Here is a 19,164-nt window from a genome sequence, read left to right on the forward strand (position 1 = left end):
AAAACCTAGAAGAAAACATAGGCCACTACCCTCAGGGGAAATGTACTTGTAGGGAAATGAATGGCACAAACACACATTCCCTACTTCCTTGAGTGGGTGAGGTTGGTGGCTGGTCCACCTGCTCCAGGTGGACCCTTACAGAGGTGGCTGGTTGCTCTTTGAGCCAGCTTGGCCTTGCCCGGCATGCACAAGCCTCAGTGCAACAACTGTGCTACAAATGGAGCCACAGAGAGGAAACGAGCGGCAGGCTCAGGAGCAGGGTGTGTGCTGCCTTTGGGGCTCCAGTCCATGCCTCAGGGGTTGTATAGCACTGCAGGCTTCTTGGTTGCCTAGAGGCAGACCACAGGCCGTCTTGAGGAGGACTTTATGTTTAAGTGCAGAAAGCAGCCAGGATTACCATCCAGGGGACTCGGCCTTCTGTGGCCCTGGCCACACTTAGAATTTGTGTCAAGGCAGGACAAGCTCACTCGGAGCAGCGTGTCAGTAGCTGGGGCCTGCGCATGCCAGCAAGGCCACGCTGGCTCAAGGAGCAACCAGCCACCTCTGCAAGGGTGCGCCTGGACCAGTTGGTCCAGCCACCAACCTCACCCACTGAAGGAAGCAGGGATGGCCAGGTTACAACACCCTGAGTGGCTGCCGCCTGAGGGCTGAGGGAGCAGAGGCCTGAGGAAAATCAGATGGCATGTTTAACTCTTTAATGGATCTTAAGTTAATTTTTCTATAACGCAGATGTCACCAGTCCATGCCTCAGAGCTCGTATGGCACTGCAGACCACAGAAGGCCGAGTCCCCTGGGTGGCAATCCTGGCTGCTTTCTGCACTTGAACATAAAGTCCTCCTCAAGACGGCCTGTGGTCTGCCTCTTGGCCCTACCATTAGGGTAGAAGAACCGATGTACCATGTCTGGCAGCAAGTGAGGTTGGTGGCTGGTCCGGCTGCTCCTGGCACACCCTTGCAGAAGTGGCTGGTTGCTCTTGGAGCCAGCTTGGCCTTGCCCGGCATGCACAAGCCTCAGTGCAACTACTGTGCTACAAATGGAGCAGCAGGCTCAGGAGCAGGGTGTGAGCTGCCTTTGGGGCTCCAGTCCATGCCTCAGGGGTCATATAGCACTGCGGGCTTCTTGGTTGCCTACAGGCAGACCACAGGCCATCTTGAGGAGGATTTTATGTTCAAGTGCAGAAAGCAGCCAGGGTTACCATGCAGGGGGGCCTTCTGTAGCCCTGGCCAGATCTTGCAGAGGTGGCTGGTTACTCTGAGCCAGCTTGGCCTCCCTGGCATGCACAGGTCCCAGGTACTAACACGCTGCTCTGAGTGAGTTTGTCTTGTATTGGCTGCCACCTAATTGCTGATGGAGCAGAGGCCTTAGGAAAAGCAAGCAGATGGCACTGTGGCCCACCTTTAGGGTAGAAGAACTGAGGTACCATATCTGGCCGCTAGTTGGTGACTGGTGCACCTGCTCCTGGCACACCCTTGCAGAGGTGGCTGGTTGCTCTTTGAGCCAGCTTGGCCTTGCCCAGCATGCACAAGCTTCAGTGCTACAAACTGTGCTGCAAATGGAGCCACAGAGAGGAAACAAGCAGCAGGCTCAGGAGCAGGATGTGCGCTGCCTTTGGGGCTCCAGTCCATGCCTCAGGCGTCATATGGCACTGCGGGCTTCCTGGTTGCCAAGAGGCAGACCACAGGCCGTCTTGAGGAGGACTTTATGTTCAAGTGCAGAAAGCAGCCGGAATTACCACCCAGGGGACTCGGCCTTCTGTGGCTGTGGCCAGACTTAGAATTTGTGGCAAGGCAGGACAAGCTCACTCGGAGCAATGTGTTAGTACCTGGGGCCTGTGAATGCCAGGGAGGCCAAACTGGCTCAAAGAGCCACCAGCTACCTCTGCAATGGTGCTCCTCGACCAATTGGACTAGCCACCAACCTCACCCACTCAGGGAAGCAGGGATGGCCAGGTTACAGAATGCTGAGTGGCTGCCACCTGATGGCAGATGGAGCAGAGGCCTGAGGAAAATGAGATGGCACATTTAACTCTTCAATTCATCCGAAGTTAATTTTTCTATAAAGCAGATGGCAGTAGTCCATGCCTCAGAGCTCGTATGGCACTGTGGTCCACAGAAGGCTGAGTCCCCTGAGTGGTAATCCTGCCTGCTTTCTGCACTTGAACATAAATTCTTCCTCATGACGGCCTGTGGTCTGCCTCTTGGCCCTACCTTTAGGGTAGAAGAACTGATGTACCATGTCCGGCAGCGACTGAGGTTGGTAACTGGTCCGCCTGCTCCTGGCACACCCTTGCAGAGGTGGCTGGTTGATCTTTGAGCCAGCTTGACCTTGCCTGGCATGCACAAGCTTCAGTGCAACTGTTGTTCCACAAATGGAGCCACAGAGAGGAAACGAGCAGCAGGCTCAGGAGCCGGGTGTATGCTGCCTTTGGGGCTCCAGTCCATGCCTCAGGGCTCCTATGGCACTGTACAATTCTTCGTTGCCAAGAGGCCAACCACAGGCCGTCTTGAGAAGGACTTTATGTTCCACTGCAGAAAGTAGCCAGGATTACCATGCAGAGGACTCGGCCTTCTGTGGCCCTGGCCAGACTTAGAATTTGTGCCAAGGCAGGACAAGCTCACTCGGGGCAGCGTGTCAGTAGCTGGGGCCTGTGCATGCCAGGCAAGGCCACGCTGGCTGAAGGAGCAACCAGCCACCTCTGCAAGGGTGCGCCTGGAGGAGGTGGACCAGCCACCAACCTCACGCAGTCAAGGAAGTGGATGGCCAGGTTCCCACAGCCCACGTGGCTGCCACCTGATGGCTAATGGAGCAGAGGCCTTAGGAAAAGCAGATGGCCCTGTGGCCCTACCTTTATGGTAGAAGAACTGATGTTCCATGTCCTGTAGCGAGTGAGATTGGTGGCTGTTCCACCAGCTTCTCGCACACCCTTGCAGAGGTGGCTGATTGCTCTTTGAGCCCTGTTAGCCTTGCCCGGCATGCAGAAGCCTCAGTGCCACTACTGTGCTACAAATGGAGCCATATAGAGGAAAGGAGCAGCAGGCTCAGGAGCAGTGTGTGCGCTGCCTTTGGGCCTTCAGTCCATGCCTCATGGGTTGTATGACACTGCGGGCTTCTTGGTTGCCAAGAGGCGGACCACAGGCCATCTTGAGAAGGACTTTATGTTCATGTGCAGAAAGCAGCCAGGATTACCATCCAGGGGACTCGGCCTTCTGTATCCCTGGCCAGACTTAGAATTTGGCCCTAGACAGGACAAGCTCACTTGGAGCAGCGTGTCCGTAGCTGGGGTCTGTGCATGCCAGGCAAGGCCAAGCTGGCTCAAAGAGCAACCAGCCACCTCTGCAAGGGTGCGCCTAGAGCAGGTGGAGCAGCCACCAGCTCACCCACTCAAGGAAGCAGGGATGGCCAGGTTCCCACAGCCTGAGTGTGTGCCACCTAATGGCTGATGAAGCAGAGGCCTTAGGAAAACCAGATGGCACTGTGGCCCTATCTTTATGGTAGAAGAACTGATTTAGCCTGACTGGCAGCGTGTGAGGTTGGTGGCTGGTCCACCTGCTGCTGGCACATCCGTGCAAAGATAGCTGGTTGCTCTTTGAGCCAGCTTGCCCTTGCCCGGCATGCACAAGCCTCAGTGCAACAACTGTGCTACAAATGGAGCCATATAGAGGAAAGGAGCAGCAGGCTCAGGACCAGGGTGTGCGCTGCCTTTGGGCCTTCCGTCCATGCCTCATGGGTCATATGACACTGCAGGCTTCTTGGTTGCCAAGAGGCAGACCACAGGTCGTCTTGAGGAGTTTATGTTCCAGTCCAGAAAGCAGCTAGTATTACCACCCAGGGGACTTGGGCTTCTGTGGCCCAGGCCAGACGTAGAATTTGACAGAGTCAGGATAATCTCATTTAGAGCAGCATGTCGGTCCCCGGGGCCTGTGCATGCCAGGCAAGGCCAAGCTGGCTCAAAGAGCAACCAGCCACCTCTGCAAGGGTGTGCCAGGAGCAGGTGGAGCAGCCACCAACCTCACCCACTCAAAGAAGCAGGGATGGCCAGGTTCCAACAGCCTGAGTGGCTGCCACCTGATGGCTGATGGAGCAGAGGCGTGAGGAAAAGCTGATGGCACTGCTTTGTAGTGCTGTTCTTTGTCTCTCTTCATCTTTTTCAGTTAAAGTCTGTTTTATCAGAGACTAGGATTGCAAACCCTGCTTTTTTTTGCTTTCCATTTGCTTGGTAAATATTCCTCCATCCCTTTATTTTAAACCTATGTGTGTCTTTGCGCATGAGATGGGTCTCCTGAATACAGGACACCATTGGGTCTTTACTCTTTATCCAACTTGCCAGTCTGTGTCTTTTAACTGGGGCATTTAGCCCATTTACATTTAAGTTTAGTATTGTTACATGTGAAATTTATCCTGTCATGATGTTGCTAGTTTTTAATTTTTCCCATTAGTTAATGCAGTTTCTTTATAGTGTCAATGGTCTTTACAATTTGGTATGTTTTTGTAGTGGCTGGTACTGGTTGTTCCTTTCCACGTTTAGTGCTTACTTCAGGAGCTCTTGTAACGCAAGAATGTGGATTTATTTCTGGTAAGGTAAATAAGTGGATTTATTTCTCAATGCTGTATTCTATGTCCTTTACCCCAAGAATCATTACTTTTTAAAATGCAATTCAAATTAGCATAAAACATTTACAGCCTAGGAAAAGGCTTGTGGCATTAGAATACTTATTTATAGGATTATTTTGTGTTTTTTTGAGATACGGTCTTTGTCATCGAGGCAGAAGTGCAGTGGTTTGATCATAATTCACCACAGCCCTGAACTCTGAGTCCAAGCCATCCTTTTGCCTTAATCTCCCAACTAGTTGGATCTACAAGCATAAGGCATCATGCCTGGCTAATTTTTTTACATGTTTTTTTTTTTTTTTGTCGAGATTATGGTATCACTATGTTGCTCTGGCTGATCTCAAATTCCTGACCTCAAGTGATCTTTCTGCCACAGCCTCCTAAAGTGCTAGGATTACATGCATGATGCACCATGCCTAGCGTAGAGTATTACATTAGTTTCAAAGTCTTATTCTAAGAGCCATTTATTGACTTTGGCCTAAATAACTCAATATAATATCTCTGAAACTTTTTTTGACAAATTTTGGGGCATGATGATGAGAGAAGGGGGTTTGAAACTTTCTAATAAGAATTAACTTAGACCCATTTAAGAAGGAAAAAACACAAATTATCAGAAAAATATAAAAGTAAGATCAAGTGCAAAAGTTCTGTGGCAAAGATGATGAGAGTAAAGAATATATGTTTGTGACTCATGGTGGCTTTTACTTTGTTCTTGAATTTTTGAGTACGAGTTAACATTTAAAGAATCTACATTATAGATAACATTTTATTGCAAGTAAATGTATTTCAGAATTTGTTATTGGTTTTGTATGAGATTATTCTCAGCCTATTTCATTATCAAGCTATATTATTTTATTAATGTAGTTTGATGATCTTACAGCAAAGCTGGAAGCTGTATCTTCAAAATATGTCTATTTGACTAAGAAGAAGTTATTCAACAGGAGTTATTATCTATGAAAAAAGTACAACCAGAATATAAAAAACTTGAGGAGGATAAAAAGATGTTGGAAGAAGTAATATTAAATCTTAAAAAACATGGAAACTGCACATTGGTGAAGACACATTGGTGAAGTACAAAAATATAAATTGGATGTAGAAGAAAGGGCAATGCAGGCAATAGAAAAATTAGTAGAAATCCCTTTACAGGTTAGTTTGTAAAATCAGGTAAGTTTATTTATAATGTGCTTTCATTTATTTCACTGCAAATTATATTTTGGATATATATATTGTGTTTCCTCTGCCTCTCTTATAGCAATTTGCCTTGTAGAGTTCTAGCAAAAAGGTGGCATCTGTTTTTACTTTCAAATATTTAAATTTCCATCATTATAACAAAATCAATTTTTCAGAGTAATGATTCTTACTGTGGAGTCATTTGATTATTAAGACCCATTGGCATAAGATTACATCCTCTGACTATAAAAATCGTGGAAGAAAACCTAGGAAATATTCGTCTGGACATTGCACTTGGCAGTGAATTTATGGGTAAGTCCTCAAAAGCATTGCCAGAAAAATGAAAGTTGACAAGTGTGATTTAATTAAACTAAAGAGCTGCTTCTGCACAGCATGAGAAACTCTCAAGGGGGATTGAACAGACAGCGTACAGAATGGAAGAAAACATTCACACACTATGCATACAGCAAAGGCCTACTATCCAGAATCTATAAGAGACTTAGACAAATCAACAAGCAAAAAATAACCCCATTAAAAAATGGGCAAAGAACATGAACAGACAGTTTTCAAAAGAACACATATGTGGCCAACAAACATATTAACACATGCATACCATCACTAATCATTAGAGAATGCAAAACAAAACATCAGTGAGATACTATCTCACACGAGTTAGAATGACTTCTGTTAAAAATAATAAAAATATTTAAATATTCAATATTAAAATGTTATTTAGATTGAGATAAATTAATTTGTCATTATTCTCAAAACATGGATATTTAAGAATAACCTTACTTCACATGTAATAACACAACAACTACCTGAAAAAATAAAAGCTGGGGCCTAGCATGGTGTCTCAAGTCTGTAATCCCAGCACTTTGGGAAGCTGAGGTGGGCTGATCACGAGGTCAGGAGTTTGAGACAAGCCTGGCCAACATGGTGAAACCCCGTCTCTACTAAAAATACAAAAATTAACTGGGCATGGTGGTGGGCACCTGTAATCCCAGCTACTTGGGAGGCTGAGGCAGGAGAATCATTGGAACCTGCGAGGTGGAGGTTACAGTGAGCTGAGATCAGGCCATTGCACTCCAGCCTGGGCAACAGGGCGAGACTCCATCTCAAAAGTAAATAAATAAATAAATAAAATTAAATGAAGAAAAAAGCTGGAAGTTCTATGAAAATATTAATGCACATACCATCTTTTGAAAATGTTCATGGTTTCTCTAGAGATTCCAATACCTATTCTAGCTTATTACAGTAACCTATAATTTGTATTATACCAACTATGGTGTAAAAACCTTAAAATGTATATTTCTGTTTCCTCTCTCCTTTATACTATTTATGTCATGCATTATGGTATCAAATATTACGAATTCCATAATATAAAGTTACTCTTTTTTTAAAAAAAGTAAGACAATTATCTTTAGAGCAATGTAAAATAATGGGGTAATATATCTTTGTATCTTCTCTGGCACTCTTTATTTCTTTGTGTAGTTTCAACTTTCATCTGCTTCCATATTCCTTTTGCCTCAAGAAATGATTTTGACATTTATTTTAGTGCAGACCTGTTAGCAAGGGACTCTTCCAGTGTTAATCTGAAAATGTCTTCATTTAATTGTTATTTTCGCGATATAGTTAATGGATATAAGATTGGGGGTTGACTTTTTTCAGTTATTTAAAAATTTTGTATCATTGGTTTCTGACTTGTAGAGTTGCTGACAAGCAGTTCACTGTAATTTCTGTTTCTGTTTATCTCTCTACACAGTGTTCCTATTTTTCTGTGACTGAATTCAAGATTTATGCTAATCGTTGGTTTTCAGCAGTTTGACTGTGTGATTATTCTAGCGTTCTTTAAGTTTTGTATTAATCTTTCTTGGATCTTTTTGAGGTTATTTGGTCTCCTTAGTCATCTTTTTCAAATTTTTCTTCTCTCACATTCTGTTTTTACTCTCCTGGAATTCCAATTAATTGTATTTTAGTTAATTTCATATTACCCAAGAATTCTTGGATTCACTGGAGTATTTTATTTGCTTGGCTCATTGGTTTATTTTGTTTTTCTCTTTTCTCCCTTTGTGCTACCATTCAAATAATTTGTATTGACATAGCATAAAATTTACTGCTTTCTTTCTTTAGCTCTGATGACCAGTCTGCTAATCAGCCTGCTGTTGTAATTCTTCATCTCTGTTCTCATGCTTTCACTTATTTCTAGCTTTTGCCTTTTACTGTTCTATCTCTGCTGAAATTCCTCATTTTTCCCTACATGTTGTCTTTTTTTAACTAGATTCTTTAACATTTTGATCATTATTATTTTAAATTACTTGCATTTAGTTCCAACATCTGAATTATCTCTGAATTTGATTCTGTTGACTTTTTATCTTTTGAAAATATTATAACTCACAACTCAAATTTCTAACTTGCTTTTATGTGTTTTCCAATTTCTAAAAAATGCACATCATCAGATGTAGAAAAACAGTAGATGATGAGATAATTATTTATGTCGAGATTGTTTTATATTTATGTTTCATTTTGGTTTGTGTCATGCTATTAGTGTGGGCAGGAACAAAGGTTGTTTTTTGCTGCGGTGTCTGAAACATTCAGTGAACCATGTAACTCAAGATTTCTCCAGCAGTAGGCTGCTATATCATGTGCCTTGTGTGGGGCCTTAGGCTCTGGAGGGCATATGCCAGTGCTCCGGTTGCACAGTTATCTTTCTGTAGTCCTTACCACATATGTCATAGGAGGGTCTCTCTCCAATTTCTTGTTCCTCTCTAACTGTAGAACATCATTTTGTGTGTGTGTGTGACTAGGCAGAAAATTTAGGTTGGGGGCAGAGGGATGATTCATGTTATTTTTGAGCCAGTTTCATCATTGGACACTCAGAGAAGGGATATTTTTAGCACTTCCTGACTCTTATTCTAGTGGGAGTCAAACTGTCTCTTATCTGTGTTGTTTTTTGAGGAAGAAATAATACCTTGCCCTCCTCCCACCTCAGTGGTAGAAAACCTTTGATTTATATCATTGCAAATTTTCAACCCCACAATAAGGACATACTATTTTATTTCTCATTCCATAGGAACAATGCACCTTTGTCTGTGGTCACTGGATGGAGATTTTCCAACCCTTTACCACAGTAGCACAACTCTGCATTAGTGCAAAATCGTGGGCCCCAAAACAATCCTTGTTCCTGTCCTGATGGAGAAGTATTTTTCTTACATCCCTCCCCCAGAAGCAGTGATCCTTTACCTGGTCTCAGATGGGATAGGGTAGGGTATGAGAGGTTTCTTAACCTTCTCTGAAAGCTGATGTGTTTTGCTTCTTCTTATCTCCCAGAAACAGTAGACTTTTGCTTGGGTTCATGGACCCAGATGCTTTTTTGCCACAGAAAATTAAGGGTTTTGATTCTTAGGAGAGAAGCAAATGTTCATGTTCAATTTTTTTCTTATTTATTTTTTGCTTTGTTTTCTTATTTCAGTAATGAGTTGAATATGATCATTATTTTCCACTTACGCCGCTTGCAACTCTAATATTTTGTTTTTGTTAGCCCCCCTTTGACAGTTCAGCACTAAATCAAATGCAGATGATCATCAGTTGTGTGAATAAAGTGTTTTTATTGAGAACAAAATTGTTGATATAGACATAAATTAGGATATTATCCTACTTAGCACAATATGTCACTGGCTCAAAATGTAAAATCCTCTTTAGGCTCAACAAAGAATGGTTTTTGAAACTATTGTCTGTTTTTGACAAATAAAAAAAAACCCAATGCTTTTTATCTCATGGATAGATTATTAAAATAATTACATACCTGATCTTCATTTTATGTTCTCTCTCTTCAAGATATTTCCTTCAAAACTACTTTGACTGATTAGTCTCTTTTGAATTATGTTAGACTTTGTATTTTCTCCACAAGCTCATCAGGGTAAATCCTGCCTTTACATTTTTTATAAAAATTCTTTTTTTTTTTTCAAATCTTAGTTGAGCTGAAAGATGTCCACCAAATGTCTCCTATGCCACAAAGCCTTACTTTACTTATCTTCCCTGTACTTGCTCAAGCTCATTTAGGAATATTTTTATTAAAACATTCATGCAATACTGTTTTTTAAAAAATCTGAACATATAGTATTTTCAATTTGAACACAAAATAGTGCTCTAACATGAAAACAAGTTTTAGAAACAAATGTTTCTAGAAGGAGAATCAACAGTGTCATAAATATCATAATCCAATTTTCCTGTTTGTACTAAAACATTAGTAAATATTTATTGAGAAATTGCTGTCTGCCTGAAAGTATAATGCTTTTGATACACATTATATCATAAAAACTATGTACTATTATTAGTAGTATCTTAAGAGTAAAAATATCGAGTCTTAGAGATGTTAAACAATGTGCTCAAATAGCATAGGGAAAGTTGGAATTCTGAAATTCTGACTATGCCGTAGGTATGATAGGAGAATGTCAAATGTAACTGTCAAGTCATTGTGGGAATTCAGATGCCTCTGATTGCTAGGGTCAATACACTTAAGCAGATCATGTCACTACTTAGTTAAATCTATTTCATTAAAGCAAAATTCCACAAAGATTATTGGCACCAAAACCGTTATTTTTCTTCCTTCCTTCCTTCCTCTCCTTTTTCCCCCTCCCCTCCCCTCCCTTCCCTTCCCTTCCCTTCCTTCTTTCAAGACAGGGTCTCAGTCTGTTGCCCAAGCTGGAGTGCAGTGGCACAATCATGGCTTACTGCACCCCAGCTTCCCCAGGCTCAGGTGATCCTCCCACCTCATCCTCCTGAGTAGCTGGGACTACAGGCAAGCCACTATGCCTGGCTAAATTTTTTTTTTTTTTTGTAAGGATTGGGTTTCACCATGTTGCCGAGCCTGGTCTGCAACTCCTCAGCTGAAGCAATCCACCTGCCTTTGCCTCCCAAACTATTGGGATTCCAGGTGTAAGCCTCATGCCTGGACAAAAATATTATTTAACAAGTTCAATTTAACTATTAGATTTTGGACAATGAGGGATAGAATTCTCTACATCATAATTCATCTTGTGTTATTTATTTAAAGTAATATATAAGGACTTCAATTCAATTCAAATATGTTTATTAGCAAATTAAAGGTCTTTTTCAGGATTCCAAACTTTTGTTGAAGACATAAATTTTAAATGATGTCACTAATTTTAATTAGATTAACAGGAAGGTATTCTTCTATTTAATAATAGTGACAGAATGGGCTATTCATTTTATTTTCTTTCCCTTTCTCCCTTTCCTCTTTTTAAAATATTTTACTTTTTAGGCTCTTTGGAATCCTGCAGATATTATCATGATAATTAAACAAAACACTTAGAGAAACTGCCAACCCTAGGATGAAATATATTGTTACTGTGCTTTGGGATTAAAATAAGTAACTACAGTTTATAGAACTTTTATACTGATACACAGACACTAAAAAGGGAAAGGGTTTGGATGAGAAGCTCTGCTATGCAATCAAGAATCTCAGCCACTCATTTCTGTAGGAGCTGCAGGAGCTCTTTGTAAAGAGAGGTTATGGAGTCTGCAGCTTCAGGAAAGGTACTTAAAACCCTTCAGAGTTTCTCCATTTTCTCCAGAGTTTCCCCAAAAAGGTTATGACACTTTATAAGAATGCTTCACTTGTGAAAAACAAATATCAAAGTCTTCTTGTAAATTATATTTAAGGACAAATCTTTATTCCATGTTTAATTTATTTAGCTTCTCCTGTAGCTAATATCTCATGCTGAACACATTTTAAATGCTGTAAATGTAGATAATATAATTTATGGATCATTAATGCCTCTTTAGTAGTTTAGAGAAAACATCAAAAGAAATGGCCCCAGAATAAGCTTCTTGATTTGTAGAATTCTATGTCATTGGCTCAAATTTGTATAGCGTCTCAAAATATAAATATATAGACATCTCAGTTAATATATTTGAAATAGCAAATTGCTGTTAGAAAATAATAGTACTTAACTAGATGAGAATAACAAGTCACCATTATTTGAATTGTCTCCTATTTTTCTTTTGTTGTGTTACTCATGTTTTACTTATGGGGGATATATATAACTTCCGCTGTTTTCAGAATTGTTGTATGCAGTCAGTATGAGAATGCAGTTTAAGTTTCCCTGATGCTTTTTCACACTTCTATTACTAGAAATAAGAATACAGTAATATTGGCAAAGAAAATTGACCAGTTCAATAAAATTTTTTAGTAAATCTGATTGAAAATAAACATTGCTTATGGCTTTCTTACATCAATATTGTCATGTCCTAGACTACCTTATCTGCAATTACGGCTTCGAAATTCTAATTATGTGCAAATGTGTAAAATATCAATATTTTATGTTCAAGCTGGGGCCTCCTGAGGCATCCTGGGCTGAGAGGGAAAGATGCCAGCTCCGCAAGCTGGGAGGGAACACCGCCACATTGTTACACGGAGACACTGCCACATGGACACACGACCAGACTCACATGTACAGACACATGGAGACATTACCACATGGACACACCATCACACGGACACACTGGCATAGTCACATGGACGGACACACAGACATACGGAGAAATCACCACACGGACACCCTACCACACTATCGCAGGGACACACAGACACATGGGGACATCACCACACTGTCAAATGGACAGACACACGGAGACATCACCACATGGACACACCGTCACACTACCACAGGGACACACAGACACACAAGAGACATCACCACATTGTCACATGGACACACCATCACACACATGAACACACAGACACACTGCCACATGGACACTGCCACACACAGACACACCGCCACACTGTCACACCACCACACTGCCATGTGGACACAAGGACACACAGACACCGTCACACACATACACAAACACTGTCACACGGAGACATCACCATGCAGATACACCACCATGTGGAGATAGCACCACACAGACACACTGCCACATGGATACACCACCACACAAATGCGGACACACTGCCACACAGACACACCACCACGCTGCCACACAGAGACACCACCACATCGTTGCCACACTTTCATGTGTCAGCTGGCGGTGTGGGTCCCATGACTCTGGGCTCTGATCGAGAAATTACTTGGGCATATAGTGAGGGCGAAATTTTTTTTTTTTTCTGAGACGTAGTCTCGCTCTGTCCCCCAGCCTGGAGTGCAGTGGCAGGATCTCCGCTCACTGTAAGCTCCGCCTCCTGGGTTCACGCCATTCTCCTGCCTCAGCCTCCCCAGTAGCTGGGACTACAGGTGCCCGCCAACTTTTTGTGTGTTCTTAGAGACGGGGTTTCACCTTGCTAGCCAGGATGGTCTCGATCTCCTGACCTCGTGATCCACCCGCTTTGGCCTCCCAAAGTGTTGGGACTACAGGCGTGAGCCACCGCGCCCGGCCAAGAATTTCTTTCCGTCTCCTGTGTCATTGCTTTGGCAGTGGAAACGCACGTGGCCTCTAAAGAGTGGGTCCCAAGGTCATGAAGGCCTGTGGGGTGGAGGGCAAGGTCTCTCTTTCCAGGCTGGAATGGAGGAAGACGTGACGGCCGAGGGGCTGCATGTCCTCCTCGCAGCAGGCCCCTGAGGATCTTTATCCTCCTGAGCTGCGAATGTCCCTCAGGGGTGTCTAAAGCGCCCGGTGGGGCAGGGGGACCCCTATAGGCTTTAGGAGCTCTGGCCCATTAGTGGTCAGTAAAACGCAGAGGTGAACACCATAGAACCACAGGTCCAGGAGAATTTTGCAAAAGCTCTGAGGATGCCCTTTTTTGTTCTCCCACTGCAAAATTGCTTTAAAAAGGAAAAAATCCAGCAATGTCTGGGGAAAGTCAATACTGAGTGTCAGCGCGGGATGCCGCCGCTGATAAGATCCCGGCGTCCTGGCCGAAAGTGGCCTCGGGGACCGCATCTCCGTGCACCATGGCAGCAAACACCAGCGGTTTATGGGCGGATGGCGTCCCTGCGGCCATCCCCTCTCCTGAGTGCGGAAGGACAGACAGGAGCGGGGACTTATGGGTGTTCCTGGTGTCAGGCAGCTTGACGTCGTTGCTCCTCCTAGAAGTCCGGGATTTGGAGAAGCACCTGGTTCTGGATGGAGGCCGTGGGTCTCTTGGTTCCCGCTTACCAGGCAGCGGCGCCAGCCTAGTTCTCAGCCCCGCCCCGGATGGGCGCCGCCTTCCATCACGCCAAAGACTTTCCGAAACTGCCCTTCTTGGGACTGGGAAGCAGATCCTGGGCCTCCCTGGGGCCTGTGGCGCTGGCAGCAGCTCCACGTTGAGGTCGCCTGCAGCCCGCACTGCGGAGCGCTGGAGGTACCTGAGCCGGGCGTGGGGAGGCCAATCCGCGGGTGCCGTGCGCCCGGTGCCGGTCGCAGTCCCAAAAGCTCCTGGAGGTGACATCCAGGAGCACCACCGCGCTGCCCGCAGGGAGACCCATGGCAAGGCGCGCCCACTAAGGCGGCCAAGGAAGAAGCAGAAGGACAGGAAGGCGCCCCAGAGCTCGATCTCAGCCCGCGAGCACCGACCAAGTTCCTGGTCTCCGGGAGGCCTTTTTTTTTTTTTTAATTTCTTCCATTTTATTATTATTATTATTATTATTATTATTATTATTAACTTTTCAAGATGGATGAAAGACTTAAATGTTAGACCTAAAACCATAAAAACCCTAGAAGAAAACCTAGGCATTACCATTCAGGACATAGGCATGGGCAAGGACTTCATGTCTAAAACACCAAAAGCAATGGCAACAAAAGCCAAAATTGACAAATGGGATCTAATTAAACTAAAGAGCTTCTGCACAGCCAAAGAAACTACCATTAGAGTGAACAGGCAACTTACAGAATGGGAGAAAATATTTGCAATCTACCCATCTGACAAAGGGCTAATATCCAGAATCTACAAAGAACTTAAACAAATGTACAAGAAAAAAACAATCACATCAAAAAGTGGGAGGATATGAACAGACAACTTACCAAAACAAGACATTTATGCAGCCAACAGACACATGAAAAAATGTTCATTATCACTGGCCATCAGAGAAATGCAAATTAAAACCACAATCCGGGAGGTCTTGCCAAAGACGATCTGTGCTTTCTGGGCAATGTCCAGCCTGAGCTGGAGCTTCTGGGACGTGGTCAAGTGGCCCTTTGGAGATTCTACGGCTTCGGATCCCTACTGCAGGATGCTCCACTGTGTCTGCCAGCCTCTAGCGTTTTGCTGAGGGGTAACCTCGGAATGGCTAAAAATAAGAACACTGGGATGGCCCAGTCATGCCCCAGGCATTCCCGCACACGTGGTGGCAAAGGCAGGCGCGCAGACAAGAGTGCCCAGTCGGCTTGGTCAGAGTTCTTTACAGGTTAGTGACAGGTTGTGTCCTCTCATGTTTTCAGTTAACCTGCGGACGCCCAGGGGCTCCTCCATCTCCACCGTGTTCTCCTCGGGCTGAAGCCCAAAGTCCCACATTTTCTCCTCAAACAGCTCTCAGAGCCACTTCTGCAGGCAGGAGGACAGCGCGTGGACTCAGTGTCTGACTTGGGAAGCCACATGTGAAGGAACTGCTGGGTGACTATGGTCGTAAGTCAATCAAAGCAGACTTTCCCTGGCTTGCTGTGCTACGTTGATTTTGTTTTCGTATTTTAAAAGAAGCAGAAGGGAGGTTCTAGGAAATTTGCCCAACGTAGATGCTGACAAGAGTGGTGACATGAAAAAGATTACCCAGAAGGAAAACGAGCTATTTTCTAAACATCTGAAATCTGTGTAGGCTTTTGGAAAAGTGAAACTAGATGCAAAACACAATGATATAATTCTGGCAATTTCCACTGACACAGAACTCAGTCAATCTGAATTAATCTAAGAGTTATAAGGAAAATGGCACTCCAAGAAGTACCTATTAACATCACTCAGCTGCTGTGAAATAGGCTTACAGGCAACATGGAGTGTCAATTACCCAATGTTTAAAGTCGATCATACAGATTGGACTACAATCTCTATGGCTCATAAAGTCTTTAAAGGATTGACAGATGATTTATCTCATATGTAGACAATGATTCTCAGCAGTTAACTAGCGCAACTTGATAATGTCAATTGCTTGAGAAAATCAGATAATTGCTTGAGAAAATTAGGACATTGCTTGAGGAAGTTAGGTAGTTAAATAAATTACTTTTTTTAAAGAATAGTTTAATATTTTGGCAAGTAGACTTTAAAATAGGTTGGTAATATTTTAAAGGCTACTTTTAAAGAAGTAGCAATATAACATGTTTAATTATGAAAAATAATGTTGGAAACAATTCAATTTTCTATCAGATCATTCACAAATACAGAAATACCATCTCAATAATTAGAAGAAGTAGCAGCAATTTCTGTCATTTTTATGCAAGTTACTCTTAGTCCATTTATTTGGTTTTAAATAGTGTTTTTAAAATTTGTTTTCAAACAGGGCTAATCATAAATAATAGAACATATTTTACAATAGTTGAAGGTAACAAAAAGTAAGTGCCATTTAAAAAATTGTATTAGATTGTTTAAAAATGTTGTGGGTACATAGTATGTGTTGTGGGTACATCGTATGTGTTGTGGGTACATAGTATGTGGGGTCCATGAGATGTTTTGATACAGGCATGCAATGTGAAATAAGCACATCATGGGGAATGGGGTATCCCTCCCCTCAAGCATTTATCCTTCAAGTTATAAAAAATTCAATTACAGTCTTAGTTATGTCAAACTGTACAATTAAATTATTATTGAATATAGTCACCCTATTGTGCTATCAAATAGTAGGTCTTATTAACTCTCTATTTTTATATCCATTAGCCATCCCCACCTTCCCACAAACCGCCCCTACCGACTACCTTTCCCAGCCTCTGATAACCATCCTTATACTCTCTATGTCCGTGAGTTTGTTTTGATTTTAGATTCCACAAATTAGTGAGAACATGTGACATTTGTCTTTCTGTGCCTGGCTTATTTCACTTAACATAATGATCCATAATGTTCCATCAATGTTACTGACAGTGACTGGATCTTATTCTTTGTTATGGCTGAATAGTCAGTCCTCCGTTGTGTATATGTACCACATTTTCTTTATCCATTCATCTGTTGATGGACACTAAGGTTTCTTCCAAATCTTAGTTTTGTAAACAGTGCTGCAACAAATACAGGAGTGCAGATATGTATTTGACATACTGATTTGCTTTATTTTTGGTGTAGACCCAGCAGTAGGATTGCTAGATCATATGGTAGCTAAACTTTTAGTTTATTGAGAAACATCCAAACTGTTTACCTTAGTGGTTTTACTAATTTGCATTCCCAGGAGCAGGGTACAAGAGTTCCCTTTTCTCTGCATCCCTGCTAGCATTTGTTATTGCCTGTCTTTTACATACAAGTCATATAAACTGTGGTGAGATGATATCTCATTGTAGTTTTGATTTGAATTTCTCTGATGATCGGTGATATTGAGCACCTTTTCTTATACCTGTTTGCCATTTGTAGGTCTCCTTTTGAGAAATATCTATTCAAATCTTTTGCCCCCTTTTTCTTAACCAGGTCATTAGATTGTTTCTTAAAGAGTTGTCTGAGCTTTTTATTTATTCTGATTATTAATCCTTTGTCAGATGAGTAGTTTGCAAATATTTTCTCCCATTCTGTGGATTGTCTCTTAACTTTGTTGATTGTATCATTTTCTGTACAGAAGCTTTTTAACTTAATGCGATCCATTTGTCCATTTTTGCTTTGATTGCCTGTTCTTGTGGGGTATTGCTCAAGATATTTTTGCCCAGACCAATGTCCTGGAGATTTTCCCCAAAGTTTTTTTGTACTAGTTTTATAGTTTGAGGTCTTAGCTTTACATCTTTAAACAACTTTGATTTTACTTTTGTATTTGGTGATAGATACTAGTCTGTTTTCATTCTTATGCATATGGATATCCAGTTTTTTCAACACCATTTCCCACCAGTGTATGTTCTTGGCACCTTTGTCAAAAATGAGTTCACTGTAGGTATGTAGATTTGTTACTGGGTTCTGTATTCTGTTCCATTGATCTATGGATCTGTTTTTATGCCAGTACCATACTCTTTTTGTTACTATAATTCTGTAGTATAATATGAAGTCAGATAATTCCTCCAGTTTTATTTATTTATTTATTTTTGCTTAGGATAGTATTATTTCTTATACTGAAAGCATTCTATGTTATTTATTATTAGTCTAATTTTGTAGTTTTACAATGCTATCCTCTTTTACAAAGCTATGATCAACTCAATGTGTCCAGATCAGGGTCAATTGTAGCTATTTGCAAAACTAGGAATATTCTGGCTGGGCGTGGTGGCTCATCCTTATAATCCCAGCACTTTGGGAGGCCAAGACAGGCAGATCACCTGAGGTCAGAGGTTCAAGACCAGCCTGGTCAACATGGTGAAACCCTGTCTCCAATAAAAATACAAAAATTAGCCGGGGATGATGGCAGATGCCTGTAATCCCAGCTACTCAGGAGGCTGAGGCAGGAAACTCACTTGAACCCAGGAGGTGGAGGTTGCAGTGAGCCCAGAATGTGCCATTGCATTCCAGCCTGGGTAACCAAGCGCGACTCTGTCCCCCCCCCCAAAAAAAAAAAGCAATATACTGTGTGTAATTGTTGATAGCATAATTCACTATTATGTGGATCAGAGAGCAGAGGATTCTGAATGCATTAACATATCTTTAACATTTCAATACATTACTCATAATTACTAATGAACTAAAGAGAAACCAAGAAATTATGGTGATAGTTATATTGACCTGGAGAAATGTAGACACAAAAGAACAGTAAGATGAGAAATGTGTTAACACAGTCTATAAGGGCATGCAAGAATAAAAATAGGAGAGTTTTTCAAGAGCTTTCTAGTCATGTAAGTCAATTTGTATCGGTTAATTTTTAAAAGGTTTACTTACATGCAATAAACTGCACACACTTCAATTGTACATTTTGATAATTCTTGGCATTTGTAGCTCTATAAAACCAGCAACATATTAAAATAGCAAACATATCCATTACCTTTACCACCAAAGTTTTCTTGTGTTTTTTCTACTCACTTTTTCCTGCCTATCCCCATCCCATCCACAGGCAACCATTGATCCACTTCCAGTCACTATCTGTGAGTTTTTATTTCCAAATACATGAAATCATAGGGTATGTATACTTTCTGATCACTCAGCATCACTATTTTTGAGATTTATTCATGTTGCTACATCTATCAGTTGTTCTGTTCTTACTAGGGAGTATTATTTCATTATATACATATACCATAGTAAGTTTATAAGTCACAAATTCACCTGCCATAGACATTTGGAATGTTTTCAGGTTTTGGCTGTTGCAAGTAAAGCTGCTATGAAGATTCATGTAAAATCCTTTGAATGGG

The 19,164-nt window shown here is 42.1% G+C and overlaps 1 long non-coding RNA gene and 1 pseudogene across 1 annotated transcript; one reads left to right on the top strand and one right to left on the bottom strand.

Moving 5' to 3' along the window:
* The first annotated feature begins 3,936 nt into the window (after positions 1 to 3,936).
* On the top strand, positions 3,937 to 16,527 carry LINC01087 (long intergenic non-protein coding RNA 1087). Its single transcript, NR_108087.1, has 2 exons — positions 3,937 to 6,090; positions 15,166 to 16,527. It is a non-coding gene; the product is annotated as a long intergenic non-protein coding RNA 1087 (long non-coding RNA).
* GRAMD4P8 (GRAM domain containing 4 pseudogene 8) lies at positions 13,616 to 15,295 on the bottom strand (annotated as a pseudogene).
* Positions 16,528 to 19,164: the final 2,637 nt, after the last annotated feature.

Source organism: Homo sapiens, chromosome 2 (genome assembly GCF_000001405.40).
Source record: "Homo sapiens chromosome 2, GRCh38.p14 Primary Assembly".
NCBI classification, from domain to species: domain Eukaryota; kingdom Metazoa; phylum Chordata; class Mammalia; order Primates; family Hominidae; genus Homo; species Homo sapiens.